A 27998-nucleotide genomic window follows, 5' to 3' on the forward strand; every position below is an offset into this window, starting at 1 on the left:
TCTTTCTTTTGAGACAGAGTCTCGCCCTGTCGCCCAGGCTAGAGTGCAATGGCACAAGCTTGGCTCACTGCAACCTCCGCCTCCCGGCTTCAAGCAATTCTCCTGCCTCAGCCTCCCAAGTAGCTGGGATTACAGGCGAACGCCGCCATGCCAGGCTACTTTTTTTGTATTTTAGTAGAGACAGGGTTTCATTGTGTTGCCCAGGCTGGTCTCAAACTCCTGAGCTCAGGCAATTCACCTGCCTTGGCCTCCCAAAGTGCTAGGATTATAGGCGTGAGCCACCGTGCCTGCCCAGTCTTTCTTTTTTTCCTGTGATTCATTTACCCATTTATTTCACAAACATATCTTAGCCACCAACTTACACAAAGCATTGTTTTAGCACTTGGGATACAGTGGCCCCTGCTCTTCAGGATGCTATAGGTTAGTAATCAAATAATCACAGAATCCACATAAAGCTAAAACTGTGTAAGTCAAGGACAGAGCCAGAGAGAAAAAAAAAAAAAGGAAAATTAAACTTTTAGAAAGGGCTTAGAGTCTCCTGCTAGAGGGGCCATGCAATTACTCAGTAGTATAACAGCTTTCCCAGATTTCATTTTTGACTTCCAAAAAGCAAGAACTCCTTGGGCAAAGGAAAACTCAGAACCATGTTGAGAAATCTTTATTCGGATTAGTCAAAAAGAAACCAAGTGAGAATCAGACATATTTCAAAATAAACATTAAAAGCAAAAGGCCTCTGTCTTTTTAGATTATCTCTCTCCATCTGCTTCCTAAGAACATGGCAGCTCTTAATTCATACCATCCTAAAGAGATCTTCAAAGTGTCCACATTTGTAGAAGCAAGCATTGAGGTCAACTAAGAGAACAGGAGTGATCCTTGGATCCCTTTGAGGACATTTTATGGGGCCTGAAGGATTTAAAGGAATTTAATTAAATTTAACTTAAATTTAATTAAAGGAATTCTAAGACATACCACTGGTGTCTTAGAAGACTCCTGAATTGGAGTTCCTCTTGCTACCTTCATGGTTTTCCATCCTAAAGACACATAGGCCAGGAAGAAATGATCATATTTAAATCCAGATTCTCACAAAACTCACTTCAGTGATGCTCTCCGGTTGGAAAGATCATCTCCTGAATTAAACCCTCTAATTCCTATGGCATTACTTATATTAATAAAATCAAACTACAGAGCCAATTTCATAATACACAAATCACCACTGCCATTCTTAAATCAAAGAAATGAATGAATATGTTCTATTAGAATGTAATTCTGCATGTGAAATGACACAATCAGCGCCAAACTGCAGGAGGCATAAATAGAAACAGCCATTTTCTAAGATAGTGTACTGTAAAACTTTCATTCTAATCTGCATTGGTAACATAAGATCTTGAAGCATTATATTTCGGATATGATGAAGAATGCAATTATTAAAACGTTTCATCTCAACACCATTAAACCTATCGTGTGTATTTTCCAGAGACCTGGAAAGGATAGAGATTCCAAATATAAACACACGAATGTTTCAACCCATGAAGAATCTTTCTCACATGTACGTATGTATAAAAAATGGAGGAGGAAGCATGGTAAAATGCTTCAAATTATCTCCTGTAAACTGTCTAATGTATCACTGCAATGTGTTTCTATGCAACAAAAGTCATTTTATTGAGAACTTTTTAATTTTGTCACCTTTGGTCCCTGTTCAAATAGAGTTCAATATTATGATGTGCCGACATGAATGACCCTTCTCTCTGGAAACACGCTGTTTATCCAATTGAGGCCCAATAAGAGATCAGGGTACCAGAATGCCACATATTACACAAGATGAAGTCACTGGCTAAATGGTACTCAGGCGACCTGGAAACATTAATTCACCTCTCATGAATGAGCAGTCGGCTGCTCTAAGATTTGAGCCCTTAGGAAGAAAGGTGCTATATAAATTCCAGGTGTTGTTACTGTTACTAAGTGCACTACAAAATGGAGGTAATTAATCTTTATAGTAGTTTTTGATAAGTCACTTTAGTATATTTGGCTAAAGTGCACTGTGTAAGTTGTGTTAATATATGTGTTCATAATTATTTCTTTATCAACTGTGTAATCTATGTGTTCATGACTTCAAAAATTAACCATTGTTATCTACAAAAATAGGGAGAATTCAATGTAAGATTACAAGTTGGGTACAGCAAGTGGATGAAATGGTGGCTGTGAAGGTGCTCTTTTGGGAGAACATTTTGTTTATGTCTGTGCAGTAGGTGTGATTACTAAAAGACAAGTGTTTGATGCATTTCCACATGGTTTTGTTCATTTTCTTCTGTGGCACTATTAGATAAATGTTTAATGAGGGTATCATTTCCTTGTTGTAGGCAGGATATGGGGTCTTCTTAGTATAGAGAAATTCAAACTATTTAGAACTTGATGGAGAAACTGCTGTGTTAAATATAGACCTCAGGCCAAGGTCAAGAACAGGTCAACAATTAAGAGAAAACACATTAGCTTAGTTACTTCCCTACTAAGTAACCTACTTACTCTTCTTTCATATTCCTTGTCCTTTATTTATTGAAACATCCCCACCTTGTCACCCCAATCCCTTTCACCTGACAACGAGTAGTGTGGTCACAGCGCAAGGGGGCCCTGAACCACTGAGAGATGCTAGACGGTTCTATCTGAAGATAGCAGACATAATGGAATCCTAAAAGGACCAAGAAGTCAAGCCATGTGTGTGCCAGGGACTCCAGGGAAGGAGAAGAAAAGAGTTCATTATAGTTCAGGTTCCTTTAATTGGATGCCAGATATTAGGAAGCTGAACTGTAAGCTACTTGAAGGCAAGAATTGCCTCCTGTTTCTCTTCCTGACACACCCAGTGCTAAATTATTCATCATCCACTTGCTGATCCAAGAAGTATTTGTTGAGTACCTACACGTGCCAGGCACTGCGTTAGACACCAGGGACATAAAGATGAACAAAAGAGAGGATGTCTGTGCCTGAGAGCTTCCATTTAGCTTTGGGAACCAGAGAGTAAAGGAGCAAGTGAGTAAATAGTGAATAAGTGCTACAAATTTAAATAAAGCAAGGTAAGGGATAGAAGGAGGATTGAGGATTACCACTGAGGTGGGGTGGATGGAAGTTGGAGTGAAGTGACATTTGAGCAGACCTGAGCGGAGGGAGAAAGCAGCCCTGGCAGTATCCAGGGGAAGAATCTTCCAGGCAGGGGCATAAGAAAAAGCAAAGCTCTGAGTAGGGCATGAGCATGGCTTGTCTGAGGGTGTGTGTCTGGGTGGAGTAAGCATTGCAGGGCAAGAGGCGAGGTGGTGCAGGCAGCCAGGGGTCTGATACCAGGCAGCCTTGGTCTAGAAACTGAATTGAGAAATAACAAAAAATGAATTAAACTGACAGCAAAGAGCAGAAAAGTGAACTGAAAGAAGTAGCAAACGAATAAAAATAGAGCAAGTTTTATGAGAGAAAATTCTAAACACACAGGTTTGAGGGATGGCAATGGCCAGATGACCTCACCCATTCCAGCACTTCCAGATGCCTTGTGCCCACTGACCACAAACAAACTTATTTTCCCATAGAAACTAACTCCTTCCAGACCCTGGTAAGAAATCTGTGTTTAAGGCAGCTGCTTCTCTTCCCAGATCCAGTGAGAATGCATTTTCCTAGTGTCAGAGGTCCTCCCTTCCTGCCAGTGTCAGGGAAGAGGAGGCTAGTTAAAGTCAGTAGACCTCGGTGTTTAAAACTCAGGACAAGACAGAAATGTTCTAGGTGAGCGACAATAGGCTTTTCCCATCCCAAGCCCAAGCCCCTGAAAGTCTGCTGGAGATCACTTTGACAAGGATAATCCACTTTTCATAATACCTTACAGAATAATCAATAAACCAATGTGACCAGGGAACATACAGCCCCTGAGATTTCAAATTTTCATGTCCTCCCAAACTCTCCTCATCCAAGTTACTGAATTCCTATGTTCTTTAGGTTCCTCATCTTTAAAAGGATACTGCCTAGTGTTTCATGAAGAACTCTTTAATTATATAAACACTACTAAACAAAAATAAACAAACCTAGTGAAGTTGTATACCTAGCATGGAGTTGCAGCCCCGATAGGACTGCAACTGTAGGTTCTGTATCATTGCTGCAAAGTGACACTTTTTTTCCCTTTGACTTTAGTTATTTCAAAAACTTTCGATACTGCTCCTATGCTCCCCATGTCCGAATATGTATGCCCTTGACGGACGGCATTTCTTCATTTGAGGACCTCTTGGCTAACAATATCCTCAGAATATTTGTCTGGGTTATAGCTTTCATTACCTGCTTTGGAAATCTTTTTGTCATTGGCATGAGATCTTTCATTAAAGCTGAAAATACAACTCACGCTATGTCCATCAAAATCCTTTGTTGTAAGTATGTTTCCAGTATAAGTAGATTAAGGATATCTTCTGTGAGTTGTGCACTAGACATATATATGTATTTATTGGCTTTCAACAAATGGCATTTAATGTGAATTATACATCCTGGGCACATTTTTTTTTCTAAATATAAAAGTTCTGGCTCTTTGTGGCTTTGTTTTAGGTTGTATGACCTTACAGTGGCCTGCTCTCAGGAGTATGTCTTGGGAATGGGCTAATAGGCAACCAATGAGTCAAGTGACAGATTATAAAGTTTTGTGGGTGATAAAACTAATCTGAACTTCAATTACAATGATACCTATGCTCATTAGGCCTGGAAAATGATTCCCTTTATTAACTATGAAGATACTATATGTTAACTGTTTAACAACTAGTCCTTCCTCCTTCCAGAAAATTCCCATTCCGATTTTTTTAAACTACAAAATAAAAACATAGTGTAGTACTTTAGAAATATTACAGATTTTTAAGTCCACTCGCTTCTTGGTACTCAGATGTTTACATTAGTTCATTTGATATAAGATGAAAGGAACTAGATCTAATTAGAAAATTAAAATGCTGGAAATAGACTTAATCAGAAAACTAAAACAGGGACATTGGAAACTGATGACATACACTGTTTCAATTCTTCCACAGGTGCTGATTGCCTGATGGGTGTTTACTTGTTCTTTGTTGGCATTTTCGATATAAAATACCGAGGGCAGTATCAGAAGTATGCCTTGCTGTGGATGGAGAGCGTGCAGTGCCGCCTCATGGGGTTCCTGGCCATGCTGTCCACCGAAGTCTCTGTTCTGCTACTGACCTACTTGACTTTGGAGAAGTTCCTGGTCATTGTCTTCCCCTTCAGTAACATTCGACCTGGAAAACGGCAGACCTCAGTCATCCTCATTTGCATCTGGATGGCGGGATTTTTAATAGCTGTAATTCCATTTTGGAATAAGGATTATTTTGGAAACTTTTATGGGAAAAATGGAGTATGTTTCCCACTTTATTATGACCAAACAGAAGATATTGGAAGCAAAGGGTATTCTCTTGGAATTTTCCTAGGTAAATTATATTTTTTCATTTCCTGGAAAAACATAATTTTGCTAGAAATACGTTAAATTTCAGCAAAGGTGGATTTGTTTGTTTCAGAAAGTGAGATAACATAGTCAAGACTGTGTCCTTTTTCACACAAAAAAGTTTTTACTATTGTGTTTATTGAAGTTTTATTAAACTTTTTATTAGACAATATTTAGTGTGGAAAATAAAGACATACTACCAGGATCTCTGGATGATATTTTTATTATCCATAAGATCCTTTGATTTCATGTTTATATGAAATGACTATGAGCTGAAGGAATTCCAGTTTAGTGCCTCATCCTGTAAACCTACCAAGTTATTTAAACTCTTTTTTTTTTTTTTACAATCTAGTTATGAGTTAAGTAAATAATAATAAAACTCAGGAAACTGACAAGTAAGAGATATCTGAATGGAAATACCAGGAAGGTTTATTGCCTTTGTTAAATGCAGCTGTTAAGTCAGCAATGTAAGGGTGCTTAATAAAGCTCTTTCCTTTCCAGTTTTCTCAATTCCTTCTAATATTGTAAAAGAAGACTCTGTGTTCTTTAGAAATGAATGACAAATTTAGCCCTTTAAAGTTAAAAACACTTTTTTTCTATTTTCTAATATGTATCCCTCCTGCTTAGAATTAAGGCCTTTCCTATATCCTCTCTTTGGGGCGATCTTCTTTTGACTCTCTCTTCTAATCTTTTCTTCCCATCCAAGGAGCCAACAAGCTCTTCTGTCCTTTCTTTTTCTTCAAAATTTGCTTCTGCTTCTGCTCCTTCCAGTCTCTACCCACTGCTGTTGCCTTAGTTGGAAACCTTACTCCCTCAACCCTGAATTATTACCTTATCCCTTACTGGTCTCGTAACCTCTGGGACCTTCCCCTTCCTCTCATTTATCTATTCACTACCATTGTTATATTCTCTGACTATCAAAAGGACTGTGTACACCTCCACTCAGAGACCTTCAGTGGCTCCCTAGTACTATCAAGGTCAAGTTTAAATTAGTCACTTAAAACTCATCATGACATGACCCTAACCATCATGCCCAGTTCTTCTCCATTACTCCTTCTCTTCCTCCTCTGAAAAACAGAACATTTAGTTTGCACCACTTTAGTAATACCCCTCACACACTACCCTATTTGGTAGTTATTTGGTCATAGATATGTCATTCCCAGGATCCAGAGTATTACAGGCTGTTCTTTGTATTTCCTTATCATTCATTCCCTCATTACTCCTAACATAGGTGCACTTAATAGAGACTCTCCCTGAAACACACACCACACACACACACACACACACACACACACACACACACACACCATGACATGCATTGTTCAAATAGGCATTTATTCAGCACTCACTATAGGCTGTGCACTATATACTATATTAGGTACGGGAGAAACAACAGATCCAGCCTCAAAGGCCTTACAGACCACAGAGGAGGAGGCAGACAAGTCAACATGTCCTCACATCACACACAGGCTGATAAATGCCATCAAGGAAGAGTACAGAATGTTCTAGGAGCCCCAGATCTGAGTAACAGGGAAGGCTTCCCAAAAGAAATGAATTCAAACTGAGGCCCAAAGGATGAGGAGGTATTAGCCAAGCGAAGGCAGAGGAGGGTGGGGTGGGGTCTGTGTTCCAGGAAGACATAGTGGATTCCCAGGCTCAAAGCCAGGGAACAGGGTAAGATGAAGGACTGAAGAAACTCATTTGGTGGAGCATACCATGCAGGCATGGAGCTCGGCCCAAAGGAGTTAAGTATCTGGGATATATTCCAGATAGACAAAGAGATCGTCACACACACACACAAACACACACTCACAAAATCATCATCATCATCAATTTGCATATGAGAGGAAGAGTCCCAGAGCTCTAAAGTACAATTTTTTTTCTGTTTGAAGAATATAAGAATACATAATTTTTAATTAATTTTTTATTTGAAAATAGTTTTCATTTTAGGAAAGGTGCAAAGATAATACAATTTTCCACATATGCCCCACCTGGTTTCCCCTATTGTTAACATCTTTCTTATATTACTATCGTGCATTTAGAGCATACACTTTTTTTTTTTTTTGAGACAGAGTCTTGCCCTGTCTCCCAGGCTGGAGTGCAGTAGCGCCATCTCGGCTCCCTGCAACCTCCGCCTCCCAGGTTCAAGTGATTATTTCGCCTCAGACTCCCAAGTAGCTGGGATTACAGGTGCCCACCACCATGCCCCGCTAATTTTTATATTTTTAGTAGAGTCCAGGTTTCACCACGTTGGCCAGGCTGGTCTCAAACTCCTGACCTCAAGCGATCCGCCCACCTCGGTTTCCCAAAGTGCTGGGATTACAGGTGTGAGTGACCACACCCAGCCTAGAACATACACTTTTGATCCTTTCTGTAAGTCTGCTATCAGAATTTGGGGCAGGGGAGCATTTTCTAACAGAGTGATTATCTTTTACGCTTAACTAAATTTTTTGGAAAGAGGCCTAAGACAACTAGTTTTATAAAATTTTACCGTATGGCTTTATACTATGATTTCATTGAATACGAAATGATTTGGATAAAAATAACAGATCACCTTGAATTTAAAGTATTTTTACCCTAGACTTCACCAATCTTACATACAGTCTAGGTTCAGATTCATATTTTTTAACAACTTTGAAAATATATGCAAGTCTTATTTTCACTGTGAGAAATGAGATGATCACTCAGGATTTTAGCGACAGCAAGAATAAAGCAAAGAGTGACTAAGAAGTCAGCATGAAAGGTAATAGTGATGTTAGGTGGGAATCTTGTGAATATATTTGGGCCCAAAAGAATAATTCACATAGTTGAATTTTTAACTTTTTTCTTTTTTTTAATAAAATTAGTCTAAAGGTTCTGAACCACAGTAGTTTAATTTACTGTAAGAAACATGAAGAAAAATAAACAAAAATACATTTTTGTTCTATGTGTTATTCTTTTTTTTTTTTTTTTTTTTTTTTTTTTTGAGACGGAGTCTTGCTCTGTCGCCCAGGCTGGAGTGCAGTGGCGCAATCTCGGCTCACTGCAAGCTCCGCTTCCCGGGTTCACGCCATTCTCCTGCCTCAGCCTCCCGAGTAGCTGGGACTACAGGCGCCCGCCACCGCGCCCGGCTAATTTTTTGTATTTTTAGTAGAGACGGGGTTTCACCTTGTTAGCCAGGATGGTCTCGATCTCCTGACCTCATGATCCACCCGCCTCGGCCTCCCAACTATGTGTTATTCTTAAGACCAAAAACATTAGGAATAATGTTTCTCAGACAATTATATTCATGATAAATTCCAAGGTTATTTTATTCATTTATTAAAATTATTTTTATTTATTTTTATTCTTTTATTATTCATGTTTATAGGATAAGAAAATGGGGTTGTTTTTATTTTTTGAGATGTGCATATGATTACAGTAATCCCTTAAGGTTTGAATCTGCAGAGAGCTGAAAACAAAAATAGCTTCTTTTCATGCTTTAAAAGAGCTAGAGTTTACTTCATGATATGCCTAGATCTGAATTTTAGAAGTCTATAATTCCTCATAAGGGTTTATGTATTTGAAATCTCTTTTTCATCTGGTGAACCCAATTTCTTTGTTTTTATTCCCTTGAACCTGGGTTTTACCTAACACCACTGGGCTTATATAAAAGAATGCTTCCTGGAAGTGCCCGTGGAAGAGGCACTGTATTTAACATCTAAGTACAGGTTAAGCATTTGTAATTTGAAAATCCAAAATTTGAAATGCTCTAAAATATGGAACTTTTTGAGCATCAACATGATGCCACAAGTGGAAAATTCCACACCTGAAGCTTTTGCTGTCTGATGGTTCAATGTATGCAAACTTTGTTTCATGCCCAAAATTATTTAAAATATTGTACAAAATTACTTTCAGACTATGTGTATAAGGTGTATATGAAACATAAATAAATTTTGTGTTTAGACTTGGGAACCATTTCCAAGATATATCATTATGAATGTGTAAATATTCCGAAATCCGAAATCCAAAACATTTCTGGTTTCAAACATTTTGGGTAAGGGATACTCAACCTGTACCACAGTAATTTTACTGTTGACTTTTACGCCTGAGATGTTAAAAGTGTGCTTTTCCCAACAGGTGTGAACTTGCTGGCTTTTCTCATCATTGTGTTTTCCTATATTACTATGTTCTGTTCCATTCAAAAAACCGCCTTGCAGACCACAGAAGTAAGGAATTGTTTTGGAAGAGAGGTGGCTGTTGCAAATCGTTTCTTTTTTATAGTGTTCTCTGATGCCATCTGCTGGATTCCTGTATTTGTAGTTAAAATCCTTTCCCTCTTCCGGGTGGAAATACCAGGTCAGTCTCTTCTATCATTCCCAAGTATAATACATCGTGCCTTCTTACGTCCTTCTTTTGACAAGGCCAGAGTCTAGGACACATAATAAATTATTCATAAAAACCAATACAAAGTTATTTCCCTCCATGTTTTATAATCAGTATTATAAAATAGAAACTGAGTAGTGGTGCAATCCAACCAGGAATAATAAAAAGCAGGAGCTACAGAGAAACTAAGTCTGAGTATCTTGCTTCTATCTGAGCAAGACATTGGTTCTTCACTAGGAGTATGCATAAAACAATCAAAATATACATGCCCAGGTTCCACCCGGGACTGTTTTGTCTCTAGAGGCTAAAACCTATAGATGGATGTTATGTAAAAATTCCCCTGTGATTCTGATGCACACTCATCTGGCTAGAACCACCATTCTATTCCATGGTCCTAGCCATAAAATGTCATGCTGGGCTCTGCGGAGCACGAGATATTTCCTGAAAGAGTCTCCTCCAAAAGGCCAAATTCCCTGAACACACCTCTACTTCAACCAGAGAAAATCACCTTTCCTTAGCAGAATTTCATCTGAAGCCCCTTCTGGAATCTAGAGATCACAGCTATTTAGGGGCCACCACCCAGGGCTTTAACCTAACTCTCAGTAAAATAGTTTGGAATCATCGTCAACCTACTGTTCCAGCCGATAGCAGATCTACTTGGGAGTTGATCCAAGACAGTAATTGTGTCTTATACATCTTGACTCCTCAGTGTCAAGCAGGATGCCTGATACTTTGATAGCCCTTATGAAAGAGTGATGAATGCACAGACGATAAACAGCTGTAACAACCTATGTCCCTCCTGTGCACTCAGTTGTGAGGCTATGTCAAATATCTTGCTGCAAAATACCACACAACATTCACAACATCCTCTTAAGCTATCAGTTCTGTCTCCACATGGCACAGATGCTCCTCAGGCCGTGTAGGATACGAAAGTGAAAATTAGGAAGGAGATCAGGTCAGGGCTGAATACTTGGAAGCCTTTGCTGGGTGGTGAAAGAAGAAGCCATAAGAGGGTTTTGTGGGAGGTCATGTGGGGAGACCCAGTTGCACGTGAAGAACAGAGATAATTAAATGTTAATAGTCACAGTTGTTCACTTGATGAACAGCCTCCAATCTATTACTGCTACCTGGACATCTCAATTTTACACCCTAACCTTTCAAATTCAGCAGGACAAAAGTGTCCGTTGGCCTCCATTGCTCATGGAACAAAGTCCAAGTGCTGGGATGAGCATTATAATATTTCTTACCTCCCACCCTCGTACACTGTGATCCAGGCCCACTGGAATGATTGGGCTTTGTTTTCTATGCTTTTCTGAGAAGACACCAGCCTTTCCTGAAGCTGTCCCCCCAACCTGGATTATACTTTCACCTTCTAAGATTTTAGCGTACTAAACACCACTTCCCATCCTCCAAGGCTCAACCCAAATACTCCCTCTTCTATGGTGCAGTGCCATTTTCGATCTCTTCTCACCCCACTTTCATGCAATCCAGTTGCTTAAACATCCATGATGGTTTGTTTACACCAGGTTTATTGGCCTCATGTGAACTGCCTCATAGCGACACTATTTCTTAGTGTGTCCATTGTGTCCTTCAGATGATAAGCTTGGGGAGGCGTGTATGTCTTATTCTTCTGTGCATTTTCCACAGTGTTTTTCACATAGTGCTTTTGAGTAAATGATTAGTCAACTAAAGAAGGTGAGCTGGTCCAAGAGTGATGGAATAGGGGATCAGTCTCATCAACCCCCTCCCCACTACTGTCTCCACACTTTCTTCAAAAAAAAAAAAAATGGAGTCTCGCTCTGTTGCCCAGGCTGGAGTGCAGTGGTGTGATCCCAACTGACTGCAACCTCTGCCTCCCTGGTTCAAGCGATTCTCATGCCTCAGCCTCCCGAGTAGCTGGGATTACAGAAGTGCACCACCACACCTCGTTAATTTTTGTATTTTTAGTAGAGACAGGGTTTCACCATGTTGGCCAGGCTGGTCTCGAACTCCTGACCCCAAGTGATCTGCCCCCTGCTTTGGCCTCCTAAAGTGCTGGGATTACAAGCGTGAACCACCAAGCCTGACCCCGTCTCCACACCTTTTGATGTGCTTTCCCACTTGTAGGGGGACGCAGCCTAGTGTGGTGGAAGAAGGACCCAGCAACAAGTAAGGCGGAGGTCCTGGGTTCCTCTCCTGCCCCTGCCACTGACTTGTTGAGTGATCTCAGGGAGACCATCTCACCTCACCTCAATGAGACTACCTCTAGATGGTCCCTCAAATTCCTGCCTGTTTTAATCTTCTTTGAGGCTTTTTCTGTCTGTATGAGGCCACTAGGACTGCTATAACAAAGGACGTCCAGTTCTGGAGGCTGGAAGTCCAAGATCAAAGTGTCAGCAGGTTTGATTTCTCCTGAGCCCTTCTCATTGCCTCACAGGAGGCGTCCGCTCTGCTGTGTCCTCACATGGCAGCAGAACTCATCATCCTCAGCGAGTCTACGACACCTCAGATCATGATAAGCTTAGTAAATACCCCCATGAAGGGAACTAGAAGAGTAGAACATTGTCTTGTGGAAACATTATTGAGCCACACACCAGTCTTTCTTTACATGTATAGTTCAATAGTCTGAGGTTTGTCTTGAACACCTCAGTGGAACCAGGAAAAATGTCATGATCACAGTTGACAAAGCTTCTTCTCGCTTGCCCAGCTTCCCATGGCGTTGTAAGAAATGCTGCCTTCACTGACCTAAACCAACCCTGTCCCCACCCTCCAAGAAGTCTGGCATTTACTGGTTATGGCATGCCACTGACAGTACCTGGGGTCACCCAAAAGATAGGCCAGAGTTAGCCTATCTCAGAACTCAGCTGCTGCTAATCTTATAAGAAGTCTCATCCCAGCACTTTGGGAGGCCGAGGTGGGCAGATCACGAGATCAGGAGATCAAGACCATCCTGGCTAACACGGTGAAACCCCGTCTCTACTGAAAATATATAAAAAATTAGCCGGGCATGGTGGCAGGTGCCTGTAGTCCCAGCTACTCAGGAGGCTGAGGCAGGAGAATGGCATGAACATAAGAGGTAGAGCTTGCAGTGAGCCGAGATCGTGCCACTGCACTCCAGCCTGGGCGACAGAGTGAGACTCCATTTCAAAAACAAAACAAAACAAAAACAAAAAGAAGTCTCATTCAGAGTAGAACTTAAGTCTATGGCCATACCACCCTGAACATGCCTGATTTCATTCAGAGTGGAACTTACGTGGCCTATTTGCCTTTGCCTAATTGAAAGCAGGCACTATCAGGCATTGTTTTTCTGTGAGATTGGGGTGGGATTCGTGATCACAATTCCCTTTGTGGGCACAACAGAAAAAGGCCACTTATTTTGTTTTTCTTCAATCACTAACTGTTCAGATTGTCTAATTTTTTTAAATTAGGGACAAATAATATAAAACTTAATTTAAGACAGGCTAAAACATAATTTTTTTCTTTCATATTCCTTTCAGTTAAAAAATAAGGACAAGGAAGAGAAGATAGGATAGGAAGAGAGGAAGGTAAATATAGAAAAGGAGAGGAAAGAGATCAAAGGAAAAGAAGAAGGAAGGTCAGATAAGCAGTCAGAGAAGAAATGGAAAAGGAAGAAGACATAGAGAGGAAGAACAGAAAGATACAAGAAATAAGGCAGGGTCAAGAGAAGAACAAAATAACAGTGGCTGAAGGATAAAAAAAATTATGAGATTGCGAAGGAGGAGAGCAGAGGATGATGAGAGAAAGCATCATGGGTCTTACTAGCCACCTCTTCACCTGAATGGGGAGTTCCTTGAAATTGTGAAGATGTGAGAGGAAGTAGCGTCCTGTGGTAAGGTTTGAGGATCTCAAGTCTTAGTACCAAAAAAGCACATCAGCAGAGCTGACTCTGGCCCAGCCCGCTGGATTCAGTGAGCAAGTTATCACCAGCCCCCTTTAACAGAGAGAGCAGATGAAGTTGAGGAAGCATAAGTGATTCGCTCACACTCAACCTAGCTAAGTGTCCGGCCACAGGATCAGGCCACGTGTAAAGGGAAAGATGCATTTTGTGCTAACCAAGCAAATGAAATGATGCTCTCAGGAAGGACACTATCATTCCAAATTTCACCTCACAAAGAACTTCTTGTGACCTCTTTCCCTGAATATTCTATTAGCATTTGTAGGGCTGCACACAAGAGAATTTCATCAAGTTTAGGGAATGCATTCCTCTTTGCTCTTCAAAGCTTTTAATAGGATAACAGGATAACCAGAACACCAGGGCAGGGCAATAAGCTTTGAGAACTGGATGGAGTTAAGACCAAGGTCAGATCTGGCTTGGTCCAGGGGACCAGAAGTTTTGTGAACCTCACTCTATTGACTAAAGATTATTTCTTTATTTTTTTATTTTCCTATAAAGGAAGGTGATAAAATAGGAAAAAATGCATTATATAGCAATTTATAGTTTACAAAATGTTTTCACATATTTCCTGTTAATATCACAATGACCTTCACATTATTTACTGAAACTCAGAAAAGTTAAATCGTTAAGACCTTGAATTCATAGCTTCTGTGCTCTTCCAACAAAGATTTTCCTTCAGGTGAGAGAAAACTTAAAATGTACTATGTCTCCCTCTCATAAATAGCATTGACTGCAAAGTGTTATTTGTATTTTATGTCTATTTAAAACTTCAACTTTTTTTTCACACTTTGCTTCCTTTTCCAGACACAATGACTTCCTGGATAGTGATTTTTTTCCTTCCAGTTAACAGTGCTTTGAATCCAATCCTCTATACTCTCACAACCAACTTTTTTAAGGACAAGTTGAAACAGCTGCTGCACAAACATCAGAGGAAATCAATTTTCAAAATTAAAAAAAAAAGTTTATCTACATCCATTGTGTGGATAGAGGACTCCTCTTCCCTGAAACTTGGGGTTTTGAACAAAATAACACTTGGAGACAGTATAATGAAACCAGTTTCCTAGCAATCATTTTGGATCACTGGACTTTCAGTGGACTACCTAAAACAGGGGACAGCTTTTGGAAGATGACATCTGCAATGCTTTTCATCTTTACCAACGGCAAGCCTTTCTGCACAGAGAGCACAGCAGAATGGCTCCTGTCACTGCATTCCAATGGCAGCTGTACTATCTACCAACCATGCTGAGGACAGCACCAAAGGTTCCTCTCCTCACCCCACATGCCTGAAAAGCACATGTGAATTCGTGTATAGTGGGCTGAGGTGCAGCTGATCTCTAGCTAATCAACACAACCCACCAACAAATGACCACAGGTTGGCACTGTGTGGTCTTTCACATCGGGTTGCACTGTCCATGAAATAGAAACACTCACAACATCTGATTCCAGTGTGGCCATAATAACAGAAATCTAACAACTCTTTCCTTGCCTTTTCAATATCAAATAAAACCATCAGCATCCTGCTGGATTGATAGCAAAGGATTTCCAAAATATTCATCTACCCGAAGTCCTCCTCTGTGAAGGCCGGTGGAGTAGCCACTTTGAAAACAGAACTTCCAACCAGGTTACCATGTCTAACCTATGACCAGAGAGTCACACTGATGAAGCCTCATACCATTTGCCTTTTGGATTTTATTTAATATCAGAAGAGATGAATTCTTAAGATATTTTTCTGAAGGTTGCCCAGGGCACAAACAAATTGGACACTTTCACTGCTAAAAAGTACACTTTAATATTCTTAAAGTATAATTTCTTTAGAGCAGTATCCCTATTGCTGGCAAGTTCTGCTTTCATAAAATATGCAGATAAGAAGTGTTAAATGGGATTCAAGAATTATGGTTTTATTTGGGACTGTTTGCATACTCACAATGGTTTTGTTCTCATTGTTTTTAACAAAAAAGCAATGAAGTTTGGGGTGGTTTTTTGAAAACGAAACTGAAAAAAATTATATGTGAAAATGAGAACTGGGTAAATAAAATTATATTTTGCACTTGTCCATATATTAATTTAAGCTTAACAAAGACCATGGATGGGGTTTGTTGACTGTTAAGCATGTTTCTCCTGATAAAGAATACAGCCAGGAAACACAGCATTTCAGTTCACAAGACACATCCTATATTTTTCTCTCTTCCCCTTTTGCCACAGCATGAGGCAGTTACTTAATTTCTTCACTGTTCACTTCATTCTGAGTTCCTTTAATGAGATAAAATGTAAGCAGCTGACTAAGACCACCACAATACCTCCTATTACATATTAAATGGACACCCTTTATCCAGTAGCATCCAGAAGAGAAAGAAATTCAGAGTTTATGGGTCTCAGCCATTCTGGTAATTTACTTGTTATTACTCACTATTGACTAAAATCATAACGTGAGTTCATTCATTTTGATCAAGTAAGATATTTCTCATGTATAATAAAAGATTTTCATTAGGATTCTAGAAATAATGTTCCCACTCATTGACTATGCTACCCTTTCCTTTATGGCTTTAAATTTTTCTCCATCTTGTTTCTTCAGTATGATGAATTGCTTCCTAACTTGTTTTCCAGGTTTGCTGACATTTTATCAGATGTCTTTGCCAGTCCTTGATCATCTTACGATTTATTTCCTAATACATTTTCTAACACCAGGAGCATAAATAAGGGGTAGACCCTGAGCCTAGGGTATTGTAATTTTAGCACCAATGTGTGTCTCCCGTTCTTGAAAAGCATCATCCGTGGTCCATGAACCAAGTCTTTGGGAACCATGTAAGAGCCCGCACTTTACTGTAGTGCAGTGAGTGGGCATGAGAAGAGGCACGCAACCAGATGCTTTGGGGAAGGTGGCAGCTGTATGGAAAAATGGGAGCTCTACATAGGTCAGCAACATGCCAACAAATAGCATGAACTTCATATCTGATAGCTTGGTAATTTATAGTCTTATTCTGTACTGCTCTGCAAATAGAAAACCATTAGAAATTTGTATTATTTTAGTAAATAATAGTCTTTAATGTGGATTGAGTGAGAACTTTTGTGCTAGGCCAAGCCTGTTTTCTAAACATGGTATTTCTGTGTGGTTATGAAAATATCACCTGTGTCCATGAACCATTTTCCATGACAATCTAAGCATCAATTAAATGTCACTGCAGAATTTCAGAGGCCACAGACGGTGCCATCTCTGAGTGGGAGAGGGTGTGGGCAAATCATCTGCTCCACATCCTAACTATGCATCTGTATATGACTGATGTCTTGAAGAGGATAAGAAAAAAATACCCCCAAAAATCAATATGGAGCTTCAGACGAGTGTACAGAAAAAGGGTATGTGTTTTATTTGTGTTAGACATTGATAAGATAGTTTACATAACTTTGCTTCATCCTAGAGGCTTTTGTTCATAGCTTTCATAGCTTTTTTTAATTCAGTAGGCTATTTCAGAAATTGCAATCGACATAAACTATTCTATCAAAAGAGTTCATGTCCATTGCAATTGCTGAAATGCCTCTTGATGGTCAGGAGCTTCAGGATAAATTATATTTATTTGAGCTTTATGTACAGGTAGCACTATCACCTTTCCCCAACCCTACCCTACACCCCAGCTCCACAGCTCCATTCAGCAGGTCTCCATGGCATCATGAAGCCACAAAAGCAGGCCCATCACCCCAAGGTTTATCTCTTAAGGATGACTCTGCTGCCAGATTGAATTCATATTTGGTGATTTGCTACAGATTTGCTCATGCTACATTTTCAAGACTTTATCTCACCCAAGGTAAAGACTTACCTTACCATCCTCAAGTTAGTAAGCAATACAGAGCTCCCGAGAGTGCACATGATAGAAAGGAGAAACCATAGAGTGTCACCAATCATATCTAACCTATTATTTTATAAATGGCCCAAGGGGAGCTGACAGAAATATATCTTCCAAAATTAACCAGAAATACTTTAAGGCACATTCCTTTTTCATTGTTTTCAATGTAGCATAAATGGGCACTTACAAAGTTGCCTTAGACAACTTCACTCAAGAAACAAAATATTAATTAAAGATAAGAATTTGTATTTCCTTATTCCCTTACCCTGTTGAATAAAGAAAGGGAGAGCCATTACAAAGATCTGCTTATATATTTGCCTGTTTATATGTCAGGTTTTTGTTTTTGTTTTTGTTTTTGAGACGGAGTCTCACCCTGTCGCCCAGGCTGGAGTGCAGTGCCACAATCTCGGCTCACTACAAGCTCCACCTCCTGGGTTCACGCCATTCTCCTGCTTCAGCCTCCTGAGTAGCTGGGACTACAGGTGCCCACCACCACGCTTGGCTAATTTTTTGTATTTTTAGTAGAGATGGGGTTTCACCGTGTTAGCTAGGATGGTCTCAATCTCCTGACCTCGTGATCCGCCCGCCTCGGCCTCCCAAAGTGCTGGGATTATAAGCGTGAGCCACCGCACCCGGCCTATATATCAGTTTTCTGACATTCTGTTTATGCAGGATGTAAGATGCATATTTAGTAATGATCATTTTCATTTTTGAGCCAGGAAAATTAAATGAAATTAGACTATTCTCTTTTTAAAGGGCTTTTCAGTAGGAGACTTCGAAGTCCTTGAGAAATACTTCCTAAAGCCCTATAAACTAATAGAACCTATTACTCAACGTATTTCATTAGAATTGTCTTCAGGATATTTCCCCACATCCCGCATACGGAAGAAGTAAATTAAAAATGAAGAAATTGGGAAGAATAAGGCCAAGTTACAAAACTGCACATCCAGAAATGTGAACCTTCTGCTGTCTGAAGCCCATGGTGACATTTCTTACCTCTAAGTTCTAAGCAAACTCATAACTATTTTGAGTTATAAGCTCATAAGTGGCTTCAATATAAGAAAAAATTATTTCTAGACCACCTGAGAATCAATAATGCTTTTACTGGTTTCACAAATTTCTGAATTCGTGATGCTAGGGTGTTTGATTCAGCAATTATTTTTAATGGAAACCATACCCTTTGCTGCTATAGGCAACACACATTTAAGGTAAGGAAATAAAGGTCAAAAGGCAGGGGGCTGGAGCTGTAGTTTTAGTTCAACCATCAACTGCTTACATGACCTCAGACAAATATCTTTACATCTCTTCCCTTATCTGTAATAGAGTTTCCTTAAGATCAAATCACATAAACAGATGACTGGTCCCCTGTCTGTCAAAATCCGTTTTGTGGATAAAACCACATGCTGAAGGTCCAAGTGGTAAGCATTTAAAAATTTACATCAAGTGCAAAGATCATTCCATTCTCAATTCCCCTGGGATATTACACATTGTTCATGAAGAGTCAATGCAAAGGGCACCAATGTTCAGAAAACCAGTCCTTTGAGGGGAGGCTTACGGGACCCCATTCTGCTGTGAAAAGAAAGCTGAAGCAAACCTCAGACAATGAAGCTTTTCTAAACCATGGCAGCTAACCAAAGAACAACAGTAAGCACCAGGTAAAAATTAGGTAACCTATTGCTAGCAAAATTTAGGAATGCAGAGATCAGGAAGATTAACATGCAATCGTTTTACCACAGATCACAGACTAGTCTCTTCACATAAGTGTAGGTCTACTACTGCCTACATTATTCTCTAAACCAGACGTAAATGCACGGGAATGTCTAGCATGTATGAGTGGGTATATTCCTGGGAAAAGTGTTGTAGGATAAAGAGATAACTATTTAATTTCCCCATAGAACCAGGATAGAACATGTGGTTCTTAACCAAGGTTGATGCCTATCTCAAGTCTTGCACCATCAGCAACACACCCTTTCCTGTGTATCATCAACTTCTCTTCCTCTCTACTGGCTCTTTCCCCTCAGCTCTCAATGCTCACATTTCTCACACCTAAAAAGACATTCCTACCACCCGACACCTTCTTATAGCTTCTGTCTTGTTCTCAAATGCTCTTTACAGCTAAACATTTTGAAATAATGATAAGCTCTTTGTCATCAACATCTTACCTCACTTTGACTTCTCAACCAACTGAATGTGGCTTCCACACTCACCACACCACCACACCACATTAAAGATTAATGTCTGCCCTGCTGGGTTTCAGACTTGTGTGGGAGCCTGTTGTCCTCATTAAGGTTGCCAGGACGACAATCCAGTGAGCATTTGCCTTTCCTCAGCTACTTTGCCTCCCTGGAGAATTAGTTACTGATGTCCATTTTCTCAATCTCTAAACTCCTCTCTTGGAATGAAGGATACCATTCATTTCTGTTCTGAACCACTTCCCTGGCTCTTCTTTCTCACATCTTTATGAACTTCCCTTTCTCCTCTTGGCCCTTAAACTTATGTAGAAATTTCTGGAGATTTACTCTTGGCTCCCTGATCTTTGCCCTCCATACAGATCTCCCTGACTTCAACCTGTCTACAGCTGTCATAGATAAGTTCATTTGTAAAAATCTCTATTAAAAACATAAATACAATTAGAGTGAACTTATTTTGACTTTTCTTACTAAATCTTGACACTCGCTTTTTAATCTGATCCAAAAATTATACAATAAGTTTTGTTGAGGCAGGTGTGCGGTGGCTCATGCCTGTAATCCCAACACTTTGGAAGGCCAAGGTGGGTGGATTGCATGAGCCCAGGAGTTCAAGACCACCCTAGGCAACATGGTGAAACCCTATCTCTACAAAAAAATACAAAAAATTAGACAGCATGGTGCCCACCCCCTATAGTCCCAGCTACCCAGGAGGCTGAGGTGGAAGGATCACCTGAGCCTAGGAGGTCGAGGCTGCAGTGAGCCATGATGGTACCACTGTACTGCAGCCTGGGTGACAAAGTGAAACCCTGCCCCAAAAATATTTATGGCTGGGAGCGGTGGTTCATGTCTGTAATCCCAGCACTTTGGGAGGCCGAGGCAGTTGGATCATCTGAGGTCAGGAGCTTGAGACCAGCCTGGTCAACATCGTGAAACCCAATCTCTACTAAAAATACAAAAATTAGCCAGGCCTGGTGGCAGGCGCCTGTTAATCCCAGCTACTCGGGAGGCTGAGGCAAGAGAATCACTTGAACCTGGGAGGCGGAGGTTGCAGTGAGCCGAGATTGTGCCATTGTGCTCCAGCCTAGGCAACAAGAGTGAAACTTCATCTCAAAAAAAAAAAAAATTATATATGTTTATATACTAATGTAGTTGTTGAAATTCTATCCTCCCTGATGAAAATAGGCTATTCTCATAAATGCATCTAAAAGCAATAGATTTTTATATATTTAACAAATGGGTTCAAGACCCACCTAAATTTGGGAGGGGGGATTTTTATTAAACAGGATAGAAAATTCCAAAAGGTTAAAATAAATAAGTGGCCCAGGCTGGAGAGGGGAGATGAGAACCCTGGTGGGTCCATATATACATTTCCTAACTTCTTATTTTTTCTTTATTTTTTCCTGGACCAAATCATAAGGCACAAACATGTCAACTAAGAGCATGAAATCTAGAAGGTGATCTTAAGGAAAAGTTTCACAGACCCTACTGAAGAAGCACTGAGTAGTGGAGTAAAAAATCTCAATTCACATGATGGTTGTTTGAGGCAGTGGTATTAATTGATGCATCTTCCTTGTTTTTATGTCACAGGCAATAACCTTAGAGTGCTGTATTATTCCATTGCTTTGAAACAGAAAATCTTTTGGTTGTCATTGTCCGATCTTCTGCATTTCATGCTCTCCCTTAGATATTCTTGGTTCCTCACCTCCTTTGAATTTCTTATTTCTACCCAGCCCTGCTCTTTGTAAGCCAATAAGAAAAGGGTTGGACATAATACATAATTCAAAAGTAATAAGATTTTCAAGAAAGTGAATCCCTCCAAAATGCAATCATCTAAAATTCTGTTGTCATCCACTCATTCATTTATTCATTCAACAAATGAGCCTTGTGAAACCACCTGGAGCCAGACATGCTATCTAACAAGATCATCTCCAAGGGCAGGTAAAGTCACACCTCAAGAAAACAACTGCTATGGTTTGAATATGGTTTGTTTGGCCCCACCAAGTCTCATGTTGATATGTGATCCCTAATGTTGAAGATGGGATCTGGCAGGAGGTCTTTGGATTACGGGGCAGATCCCTCATGCATGGATTATTGCCATTCTCTCAAGTGGGTAAGTTCCTGCTCTATTAGTTCCCACAAGAGCTGCTTATTTTAAAAGTGTCTGGCACCTCCACTTGCCTTTACTCTTGCAATGTGATTTTTGCATAGGTTAGCTCCCCTTCATCTTCCACAATGACTGGAAGCAGACTGAGTTCCTCACCAGAAGCAGATGCTGCTGCCATGCTTCTTGTACAGCCTGTAGAATGGTAAGCCAAATAAACCACTTTTCTTTATAAATTTCCCAGCATCAGGTATTCCTTTATAGCAACATAAGTGGGCTAAAACAGAAAACTGGTACTGAAGAGTGGAGTGTTGCTATAAAGATACATGAAAATGTGGAAGCCATTTTGGAACTAGGTAATAGGCAGAGGTTGGAAGAGTTTACAAAGCTCAGAAGAAGAAAAAAGACAAGGGAAAGTTTGGAACTTCTTAGAGACTGGTTAAATGGTAGTGACCAAAATGCTGATAGAAATATAGACAGAAAAGGCAATATTGAGGAAGTCTCAGATGGAAATGAGAAACTTATTGGGCTCTAGAGCAAAAGTCACCCTTGTTACACCTAGCAAGGAACTTGCTGCATTGTGTTTGTCCCCTTGGGCTTGGTGGAAGGCCAAACTTAAGAGTGATGTCTTAGAGTATCTGGCAGAAGAAATTTCTAAGCAGCAAAGCATTCAAGGTGTGGCATGGATGCTTTTAACAGCTTACAATCAGACACAAGAGTAAAGGAATGAACTAAAGTTGGAACTTATCATTAAAAAGAAAGCAGAGCATAAAAATTTGTAAAGTTCACAGTCTGGCTGCATGTTCAAAAAGGAAAGAATATTTTCAGGTGAGGAATCCAAAGATGCTTCAGAGCAACCACTTGCTAGAACAATCGGTGTGGATAAAATAGAGCCAGGGGCTTATAGTAAAGACAATGGGAAAAAGGCCCAAAAATTATTTCAGAAACATTTGAGGCCACCCCTCCCATCACAGTTCCAGAGGCCTAGGAGGACAGAATGGTTTTGGGGAAATGGCCTGAGGTGCTGCTGACCTCTGAAGTATATTCCCTGAATCTCTGCCACAACTCAAAAGGCCCCAGATGCTACTTGGTCTGCCACTCTAGCTGGAAGCCTTGGCATCTTCCACGTGCTGTTAAGTCTGAAGGTGTGCAGAATGTAAGAGTTGGGGAGGCTTGGCACCTTCCACCTAGATTTCAGAGGATGTATCTAAAAGTATGGATGCTCAGGCAGAAGCCTACTGCAGGTGTGGAGCCCCCACAGAGCGACTCAACCAAGGCAATGCAGAGCATAAATGTGGAGTTGGAGCCCTGCAGAGAGCACTTTACCAAGGCACTGCCTAATGGTGCCATGAAAGCAGGGCCACAGCACTCCAGACCCCAGAATTATGGAGTCACCAGCATGATGCAATCTCAGCCTAAAAAAGCAACAAGCATTAAACTCCAACCTGTGAAAGCAGCCACATGGGCTCTGCCCAGCAAAGCCTTGGGGATGCGGCTGCCCAAGGCCTTGGGAACCCACCCCTCACACCACTGTGCCTAAGATGTGGGACATGAAGACAAAGGATATGATTTTGGAGATTTCGAGATTATTGTCTGCCCTGCTGGGTTTCAGACTTGTGTGGAAGCCTGTTACCCTTTTCTTTTGGCCAGTTTCTCCCTCTTGGAATGGGATTGTTTTCCTATACCACCATTGTTTTCCTGCCTGTATCACCATCGTACCTTGGGAGTAAAATCCTTGTTTAGATATTACTGGCTTATGGCTGAAAGGAAGTTGCCTTGAGTCTCAGGTGAGACTTTGGACTTTTGAGTTGATGCTGGAATAAATTAAGACTTTCCAGGATTATTAGGATGGGATGATTGCATTTCGCAATATGAGAAAGACATGAGATTTGGCGGCCAAGGGTGGAATGCTATGGTTTGTATATGTTTTGTTTGGCTCTGTTAAGTCTAATATTAAAATTTGATCCTCAGTGTTGGAGGTGGGGCCTGATGGGAGGAGTTTGAGTAACGGGGGTGGATTTCTCATGAATGGCTTAGTGCCATTCTTGAGGAAGTGAATTCTTACTCTATTTGTTCTCACAGAAGCCTTTTGTTAAAAGATTCTGGCACCTCCCTCCCCTTCTTGCCTCCATTATTGCCATGTGATTTCTGTACAGGCCAGCTCCCCTTTGCCTTCCACTAGGAGTGAAAACAGACTGAAGCCCTCACCAGAATCAGATGCTGGTGCCATGCTTCTTGTGCAGCCTGCAGAAATGTGAGCCAAATAAATCTCTTTTCTTCATACATTACCCAGCATCAGGTATTCCTTTACAGCAACACAAACAGACTAAGTCAACGACCATAGCAAGATAACTGTAGAACTTCTGTAGATTTGACTTCAAAGATTAAGTCCTGCATGTTTATCAGTCTTATCAATTTTATTCATAGCACATTCTTTCTTATTGCAATATCTTTTTTCTCTACTCTTCTTCCTACTCTCTCTTTCAAATACTTTGCTGACATTTCTGACCCTTTTTCTTTTGCTCTCTCACCACATACTATGCACACACATGAACACACATATGTACCTCTTTATCCCTCTAAGTCTGCTTTCTTGCCTCCTGGTCTCTGTCCTACCTCTATATTTCTATTGTTCTCTCTCTTTCCCTGTGTAGGCAGTGTTTGTGCCTCTCTCTGTGTAGGCAGTGTCAAGACAAGATGGAGGCCAAAAGTAAGATGGACACTTATATTGAGTGCATAAGAAAACAAACTGATTGATAACATTCATTTTTATGCTTTCAGCTTGCTATAAGTGCCCTAACTTGGTAACATGGGTCTAACTGGCTGACAACCCTCATATAGCAACATAATAATAGTATCAATACATCACACCTGAACAGTACTTTATATATTGCCATATGCTTTCAAATAGCATTTAATTTGCTGGAAGTCAAGCATTATTTATTCACAAGTGCCTGCTTTCACAGACACAAACATACACAGAACCATGTCACACATTGGAATTAATTTATTTGGCAACCTCACCTTCTCAGAACATAGCTGACTTAAAAAAAAAACCACTATTTTTAAAGGACTTTAAGGAACTAAAGACAAACAGTTGTCGCAGATTCATAAATTAAAGTTTAGAAGCAAGATGTGTATAGAAAAAAAGCACAGAGCATCTCATTTGAATTATTCATCCATTCACAAATATTTATCGAGTGCCCACTATGCGAGGAAATATTCTAGGTGATAAAAAAATATAACAGTAAAAACATAAACCTGTCTAAATGGAGCTTTCATTCTTGGGGAGTAGGTGAGACAAACAATAATAAAGGAAAATGAGCAAAATTTATAATACAGTAGAGGATGAGAAGTTCTAAATGAAAAAATAAATCAGGGAAGTGAGAGAATTATTACTAGAGGAGGAGAAACAGCAATGAATGTATTCAGTAAGAGGTGACTTTTGAGTAACATAGCCTGATGCTACCATTTCTTCTCAGTTTATTCATCTTTAAAATATAAAAAATAATAACCACTTCACAAAATTACCCTAAGTAAACAAATATACTCTAGCACATAGCCTGAAACTAATTAATTATTCAACAAGTGATAGATATGTCTTTATCTCATAAATTTCAATCATCACAAAGATCCTCATCTACTCAGAACCCATTTTTCTATAATTCACATGTAATTTTAGCAAGATTATTTTCCTATTTTATTTATTTATTTTTCATTGTTTTGAGATGGAGTCTCACTCACTCTGTCACCCAGGCTGGTGTGCAGTGGCATGATCTTAGCTCGTTGCAAACTCCACCTCCCAGGTTCAAGTGATTCTCATGCCTTAGCCTCCTAAGTATCTAGGATTACAGCGCCTGCCACTACACCCGGCTAATTTTTGAATTTTTTGTAGAGATGACGTTTTGCCACGCTGGCCAGGCTTGTCTCAAACTCCTAGCCTCAAGTGATCCACCCATCTCGGCCTCCCAAAGTGCTGGGACTACAGGCGTGAGCCACTGTACCTGGCCTATTTTCTTATTTCTAAGCTCAGATATTTTAAGAAAGTATGTATGCATATACATGAATATGTGTGTATATATGTGTGTGTGTGTGACATTCATTTGGATTTGTACTACAAATTTAGACTTTCTGTGGTCTATAAACTCCCAAGCCAAGAAATTTACCTAAAAATTTATCTTAGGATATGATACCTCTGTTGTAATTGGAAGAACTAAACATAATCTTCTCCAAAACACATATCCCCAACTCAGTCCTCCCAGAATGTTATATCCTTATATTAGTCCAGAATGTTATATCCTTATATTAGCCTTTATAGACTTTCACAGGTAACGTCTCACAGAGGATGAATTCTTAATCCCAAATTAGTAAATCATGAGGAAATAATCTACCATGAGTGAGATTCAACAAACACATAAAAATGATAATGAGAATCAAAACCAAAACCAAACCAAAACAAAAAACTTCAGGTAATAGAAATATCTGATAAAATCTACAAAATACATTCTTTAAGAATATTTAAGAATTACAAAAGAAATTGAAACCATAAAATGAACACAACTCTGTGAATAATGCCTTAAAAAAAGATTATCTGGGAGTGACATTAACAACATAGCACAGAATAGGAGTTTTCAGCACTTACCTTTCAAAGAAACATCAGTTTGAACTACCATCCATGCATGAAGATACCTTCACAAGAGCTAAGGAACCCAGGTGAAAGATTATGGCACCTGGGTGGAACACAGAAATAAGAAAAGACACATTGAAGAGGGAAGGAAAGACTGTTTCATATTACCCATATCATTCACCCATGACCCAAGCCTGTGCAGCATGCACAGAGGGAGATACCCTCTGTGTGGGGGAAGGAGAGTGAAGTGAGTACCCAACTTTGCCACAGACCAGAGGACTAGACCAGCCCCAAAGAACCTTACAGCCAGCCCAGCTCCTGCAGCTCCAAGCCCACTCCAACACCAGGCCAGCTGCACAGCACCCCCAGTCCCCCAAGCACCCAGACTCCATACAAGCCTACCTCAGCTCCAGAACGCCTTCCACATATGGAGGCTCCAGGACTGCCCCAGAACCAGGCCCATGTCTTATGGACCAAGGTATCAGGCCCAAGTCCCCACTGATCAGTCACCAAGGCAGCCTACCCAAGGACTCCAGCAGTAAACCTGCTCATAGGCCTCGCCAGCTGTTCCAGCCTGAATCCCTGGACAGGCTGATTTGTAAACGGCTTTCCATGCTGAAGTCAGTTGCAAAGACTGCAAGAGACGCCCACTTCCTCAAATGCACAGACACCAACATAAATCCACAATGATCACAAATAATCAGGGGAACTTGACACCAAGAAAGGAACAAAATAAAGCACTAAGTAACTGACCCTAAAGAATTCGCGATCTAGAAACTATGTGACAAATATTTCAAAATAATCATCTTAAAGAAGTTCAGTCAGTGATACAAGAACACAGACAACTAAATGAAATCAGGAAAACAATATATGAACAAAATGAGAAGTTCACCAAAGAGATAGAGATAGAAGCGATAAAAAGTCAAACATAAATTCTGGGGCTGAAGAATACAATGACTGAACTAAAAAAATTCCATAGAGAGCTTCAGTGGCAGAACTTGATCAAATAGAAGAAAGAGTCAGTGAACTCGAAAACAGATTGTGGGAAATTATTCAGTTAGAGGAAAAAATGTTTAAAAAAAGAATGAAAAACGCTTATGCGACTTATGAGACAGCATCAACTGAACCAATGTATGCATTATAGGAGTATGAGAAAGAACAGAGAAAGCAAAATAAACAGAAAGCATTTTTACAGAAATAATGTCAGAACACTTCCCAAATCTGGACACGTAAATGAACATTCAGATCCTTGAAGCCTGAAGAACCCCAAATAATTAAACATAAAGAGATTTTCACCAAAACATATTATAATCACATTCTTAAAAGTAAAACATGAAGTGAGAATTTTGAAAGCAGCTAGAGAAAAGCTATTCATCACATACATGCATACTTCCATAAGACTATCAGTTGATTTCTCACAAAACCTTTGCAGACCAGGAGAGGGTGGGTTGATATAATAAAAGTACTAAAAGACAGAAACTGCCAACCAAGAATACTATACTCAGCAAAGCTGCCTAGAAATGAAGGACAGATAAAGATTCCCAGACAAAC

At 40.0% G+C, this 27998-nt stretch overlaps 1 protein-coding gene and 1 long non-coding RNA gene across 4 annotated transcripts in view; one reads left to right on the plus strand and one right to left on the minus strand.

Annotated features, from left to right (window-relative positions):
- Nucleotides 1–15742, plus strand: part of RXFP2 (relaxin family peptide receptor 2) — a 63864-nt gene extending 48122 nt beyond the window's left edge. For 2 of the 3 annotated variants that reach the window (NM_130806.5, NM_001166058.2), the window contains 5 exons: nucleotides 1475–1546; nucleotides 4159–4388; nucleotides 5031–5441; nucleotides 9554–9772; nucleotides 14499–15742. In NM_130806.5, coding sequence (NP_570718.1) covers nucleotides 1475–1546; nucleotides 4159–4388; nucleotides 5031–5441; nucleotides 9554–9772; nucleotides 14499–14758 — 1192 coding nt within the window. In that variant the 3' untranslated portion in view covers nucleotides 14759–15742. Of the gene's footprint in view, nucleotides 1–1474; nucleotides 1547–4158; nucleotides 4389–5030; nucleotides 5442–9553; nucleotides 9773–14498 lie in introns of those variants that run through there. The other variant, XM_017020389.2, reaches the window with a different exon arrangement.
- Nucleotides 8728–27083, minus strand: LOC105370152 (uncharacterized). The gene is made up of 3 exons (XR_941833.3): nucleotides 26850–27083; nucleotides 26463–26550; nucleotides 8728–9845 (listed from the first exon to the last, which is right to left on the minus strand). It is a non-coding gene; the product is annotated as an uncharacterized LOC105370152 (long non-coding RNA).
- Between the last annotated feature and the right edge of the window lie 915 nt (nucleotides 27084–27998).

Source organism: Homo sapiens, chromosome 13, assembly GCF_000001405.40.
Source record: "Homo sapiens chromosome 13, GRCh38.p14 Primary Assembly".
NCBI lineage: Eukaryota > Metazoa > Chordata > Mammalia > Primates > Hominidae > Homo > Homo sapiens.